This window comes from Homo sapiens, chromosome 20 (assembly GCF_000001405.40).
Source record: "Homo sapiens chromosome 20, GRCh38.p14 Primary Assembly".
NCBI lineage: Eukaryota > Metazoa > Chordata > Mammalia > Primates > Hominidae > Homo > Homo sapiens.
Genome location: NC_000020.11, coordinates 30811899 through 30817261, shown reverse-complemented (window position 1 = coordinate 30817261; position 5363 = coordinate 30811899). Strand labels below are relative to the sequence as shown.

The window sequence follows — 5363 nt, the reverse complement described above, 5'->3', positions numbered from 1 at the left end:
TTATAGAACATTAAGCAGATTTAACCCAAAAAAGACTACTTCAAAGCATTCAATAGATCTTCCAAAAGTCAAAGATAAAGACAAGTTCTAAAGGAAGAAAGAGAAAAGAAACAAATAACATACTGGGGAGCTCCAACATGTCTGGCAGCAGACTTTACAGTGGAAACTCTACTAGCCAGGAAAGAGAAGCAATAAATATTTAAAGTACTAAAGGAAAAAAACTTTTACCTTAGAATAGAATATACAGTGAAAATTTTCTTCAAATAAAAAGAATACTGACTTTTTCAGACAAACAAAAGCTGAAGTATTTTATGAATACCATACCTGTCCTAAAGGAATGCTAAAGGGAGTACTTCAATCAGGAAGAAAAGGACATTAACGAGCAATAAATGATCACCTAAAAGTAAAAAAAAAATCCTCACTGCTAATAGGATACAAAACAAAACAGAATATTATAACACTATAGATGGGTGGTGTGTAAACTACTCTTATTCAAGGTAGGAATACTAAATAATATCCAATCAAAAGTAATAACTACGACAACATTTCAAGACATAGCACAATAAAATATAAATAGAAACAACAAAAAGTTAAAAAGTTAAGGGATGAGCACGACCCGTCCTGAGCCGGCAGATGTGGTGGAAGCTCCAGAGCTCGGGAGCTCGCGGAAGGACTGGAGCGTGGGCGGAAGGGAGGCCGCCCTGAGAGCCGGAAGCTTAGGCAGGGGACTGAGGCCTCCGGCGCCCACCAGCAACAGCAGGGCGGCGCCACATTGGTCCTGCGCCAGGCCTGACCGCCGGTGACGGCGGGACTCTCTGGGAGGCCGGCGGTGCTCGGGTGTAGAGGGAGACAGCTGCCCGGAGGCACGGGCGAGCGTCTCTGGGGGTCCCGGATCCGAGACCCGCGGCCCCGGGGTGGCGGTGACGCCTGGAGTCGTGCGGGCGTGGCTGGGCCCGGCTCTTGGGGCAGCCAGGCGCCGCTGCTGGCGTCTAGGCCACACCACCCTGAACGGGCCCTCTCGCCTCTGATCTGTTGAAGCTAAGCAGGGTCGGGCCTGGTTAGTACCCGGATGGGATTCCGCCTGGTAATAACGGGTACCGTAGGCTTTTGGCTTCCTGCTCCCTCCCTCTTTCCCCCTTTTGTCTCCGTGCTTCCCAACTGCCCCCCGCCTCTGCTCCCCCTTGACCACCCCCGCGCCCCAGCCGAAGCCCAGGACCTCGTCCTGAAGATCCGCTGCTGCAGCACCGACAGGCAGCAGCATCCCACCTTTTCCCACTCGCAGCAGCCCCACCAGGAGCCTGGCTCCAACCCTGGCGGGACTGGACCGACCCCGAGGGCGAAGGCGCGGGTTCCCTGAGGTCCCGGGTGTCTTCACGCTTCCCGGACTCCCAGGCAATTCTATTCATTCTTCCAGTGACGCGGCAACCGTCCAAGCCGGGGGAAGGGACGGGCAGGGACAGCGGGTCCCACAGACCCCAGCGAAGACCTCCACTCCAGAACCCGTGGGCTGCTTTCCCCAGGGGAAGGACATTGTCTTCGCCAGCCACGAGGAAATCCGTCCCTGTGCACCCGCTTTCCCAATGCCACAGACTTCGTGTGAACTCCAGTCCTGAGGACAGGAGAGAGACCTAGGCCTCGCCCCATGGACACTCTCGGCGCCAAGGCTCCCGCCAGACAAACGAGCACACTCTACAAATGTCAGGGCCCACCGCACCAAGGAGACAGAAGGAAGCAAACAAAGGAAGGACCTTATGAAACGCACCCCCAAAGCAACCAACCAATTCAAGAAAAAAAAACACACACGTCTCAGGGCTCCGTTGGTTTTCCTGGGTGGGGGGCCCTGACCCCCTGTTCTAGCCCGGCCCAAGCACCCTCCACCCCACCCCGGCCTGCTGAAAGGTGCCCTGTCTACCTGAGCAGAGCCTCCCTCTCCAAGGCTCTGTCGCTGTCGCTCTACAACTCCCTCACCCTCTCCCTTTCTCTACTTCCACCTCCACTTCGCTCTCTACTGTGGGGCTCTCTCTTCCCCCCTCTGTCTCGCCTCCCCCTTCTCTGTCTCTCTCTCTATCGCTGTCTCTCTGTCCCTCTGGTTCTATTTCTCCATCCCTCTCTCCCTTGCTCTCCTTCTGTAGCAGGAGGAGCTGCAGACAAAACCCCTCAGACACCGAGTTGTAGAAGGGAGGGCTTTATTCAGCTGGGAGCATAGGCAGACTCACGTCTCCAAAAACCTAGCTCTCTGAGTAAGCAATTCCTGTCCCTCTTAAGGGCTTACAACTCTAAGGGGGTCCGTGTGAGGGGGTCGTGATGGATTGAGGAAGCAGAGGGTACGGGACGGGGGTCTGCATGCACCGGTAATTAGATCAGAACAAAACAGGACAGGGATTTTCACAGTGCTTTTCTATATAATGTCTGTAATCTATAGATAACATAATCGAGTAGGTCAGGGGTCGATCTTTAACTACCAGGCCCAGGGTGTGGCGCAGGGCTGTCTGCCTGTGGATTTCATTTCTGCCTTTTAGATTTTACTTCTTTCTTTGGAGGCAGAAATTGGGCATAAGACAATATGAGGGGTGGTCTCCCTTCAAGCTCTCTGTGTCTGTGTCTTTGTGTGTCCGTGTGTGTGTGCACGGGTGTGGTGTGTGTGTGTCCGCGCGCGTGCACCCGTGTCTATCCGTGTGTGTGTCAGGGGGGGTTTGCTCGTGGTAGTGGTGGGGTGTGTCTGGGTGTCCGTCAGCCCCTCTTTCCCGGGATGAGGCTGCCGGGGCTCTAGTGCTAGCACGGGGCAAAGCAGAGCCTTCCTGCCCCGTTGGCCACGGCGGGTCCTCGTCGGAACAAGCGACGATGGTGTGGGCGTTGTGAGAAAAAGGGCCCGCGGGGCTGGGCCGGCTGTTAGCCCCTGGGCAGCCCTGGCGGCTCTGGGTGTGTGGGGCAAGAGGGGGCCTTGCAGGAGGGGCGGCGAGGAATCCAAAATAATTTTTCCGCGGCAAGGCGGAGGACCAGAGGGTACCCCAGGACCCTGGGCCCTGGGCCCTGACGCCTCGGAGCACACCCCGTCCTGAGCGGGCCCCAGGTGTTGGAAGCTCTGGAGCTCCAGAGCCTGGGGAAGGCCTGGAGTGTCAGCGAGAGGGTGGTCGCATGGAGAGTCCAGAGCCCTGGCAGGGGATGGAGGCCTCTGGCACCGCGTAGGTCTCGCGCGTGGTCTGGCCGCCAGCGACAGCTGGACGCTCTGGGAGGTCGGCAGAAAGCGCAGCGCGGCGACTGGTGGTGCTTGGGCGTAGAGGGGGAGAGCAGCCCGGCCACGGGCAAGCGGCTCCGGGGTGCCTGATCCCAGCCTCGCGGCCCCGGGTTGGTGGTGACGCCTGGAATCAGGCGGGCGTAGCTGGACCGGGCTCTTGGGCCAGCCAGGCGCCACTGCCATTGTCTAAGGCCATACCACCCGGAAAACGAGAGACCCAAGCCGCGGCCCGTGGGCACGCTCAGCGCCACTGCTCCTGCCACAGTGAGGGGCGCACTCTACAACTTTCAGGGCCCACAGCACCAAGAGGACAGGGAGGAGCCAAAAAAAGAATGACGCTACGAAACGCACCCCCAAGGCCACCAACCAATCCAAGTAAAAACACGTCTCAGGGCTCCGTTGATTTTCCCGCAGTGGCGGCCCTGCCCCCCTGTTCCAGCCCGGCCCAGTCACCCTCCACCCTACCCTGGCAAAGGGGACCCTGTCTACCAGATAGAGCCTCCCTCTCCAAGGCTCTGTTGCTCTCCCTCTGTAGCTCCCTCACCCTTTCCCTTTCTCTGCTTCCTTCTCCACCTTGCTCTCTCTCTCTCTCTCTCTCAATCTCCCCAGTTCCTCTCTATCTCTCTCTCGATGGCTGTTTCTCTCTCTCCTTCCGTTTCTATCTCTCCATCCCTCTGTCCCTTGCTCTCCTTCAAGTTGTCTGTGTCTTTGTGTGTCTGTGTGTGTGCTTGTGTTCCCGCGCGTGCGCCCCTGTGCGTCTGTGTGTTTGGGAGTGGGTTTGCCAGTGATTGTGGCGGGGAGTATCTGGATGTCCATCAGTACCTTTGTCCCGGGATCAGGCTGCCAACTCTATTGCCAGCGCCTGGGTGTCACAGTTGCCGTGATAGTCTCACACACGCAGTTGTGTGGATCTTGTTCATTTTCACGTAGACAACGAGAGCGAAACCACAGAGAAAAGAAACATCCCGTACATCACGGCCTGACGATGGATTCTTGTTTCCTGCAAAGTGGGGAGTCTCCAATATAGCCTGTTTGAAAACTGGAAAGGAGAGCACCGACATGATGCTGGTCTTCCACGCATTCCTGGAAGTTTCCGGGGCCCCACAGAGCTCGGGAAACAAACAGTCAACATGGTCATGCTTTCGGGGGGCAGAAACTTGAGCAACAGGCACCTTTGCAGAGAGCAAAGAACGTGGAATCCAGAATCACGCTTCAGTTGGCCTCAGTGTGACTCCTGTGTGGATGGGACTATCCACCTCGAGCTCTGTTGCAGGGCTCAACGTGGGGATATGTCATCTGTGAACCATGTGGATGAAAAGCAGACAACCACCTGAGTCTCAACTCATTGCTTTCCGGGGAATTCGCTCATTCCTTCGGAAACGGAATTGGTCTGAATTGCTCCGGGATGAAGTAACCCAGGCTGGCGATCCAGAGGGCCGCTCATCGCCCCGCCGGCCAACGGGGCTGTGGGCCCAGCACTTAGCCCGCAATGGGAACCCAACATTTTCCTGGAGTGCTGGGTCCTGTTGGCTCTGGAGGCATAAGACCGTTTTTGTCTCTGCCTTCCGTTCTCTGTTTCTTGCTCCTTTTGTCCCTCGGTCCATCCTTCCCTCTGTTCTTCCCTCCCTCCCCCGGGTTTTTCCTCCCTTTCTCCCTTCCTCTTTCTCTCCCTTCCGGGGTCCCTCCTTCCACCCATCCTCTCCTAGCTCCATCCTTCCATCTCACTCTCTCTCCGTTCCTGTCCTCATCTCTGCCTGCCTTCCCTTTTGCCTGGAATGGGCAGCACCCCGGTTTGCACGGGGTCTCAGGTCTACATTTAGTTGCAAGGCCCTCCATGGTGCTGGCAAGGAGGCTGATGGGACAGGGGTTGGCAAGTGATGGTGAGCGAAGAGGCAGAGGAGTCGAGCCGCAGAAAGGAGAACTGGCCTGGCTTCTGCCACGGCCCAGTGTTTCGCGGACTGAGGTCTCCGCCAACCCGACTGAAGAACGCGGGGAAAAAGGGATGAGAGCTCCGCCTGGGCTAGTCAGAAAACCCAGGCTGCTGCCTGGAAACCCGCACATGCGCAGTAGACAACCCACCTCCCTGTACCTGGACCGGCCCTGGGATCCCCGGGATGCTCAGGAATTC

General features: G+C 56.8%; 1 protein-coding gene and 1 pseudogene across 1 annotated transcript; one reads left to right on the top strand and one right to left on the bottom strand.

Moving 5' to 3' along the window:
• RNA5SP528 (RNA, 5S ribosomal pseudogene 528) lies at positions 988-1106 on the top strand (annotated as a pseudogene).
• LOC124904970 (uncharacterized) lies at positions 2170-3835 on the bottom strand. The gene has a single exon (XM_047440638.1). The coding sequence runs from the start codon at positions 3416-3418 to the stop codon at positions 2582-2584; it is 837 nt and encodes a 278-aa protein (XP_047296594.1). The 5' UTR covers positions 3419-3835; the 3' UTR covers positions 2170-2581.
• Between the last annotated feature and the right edge of the window lie 1528 nt (positions 3836-5363).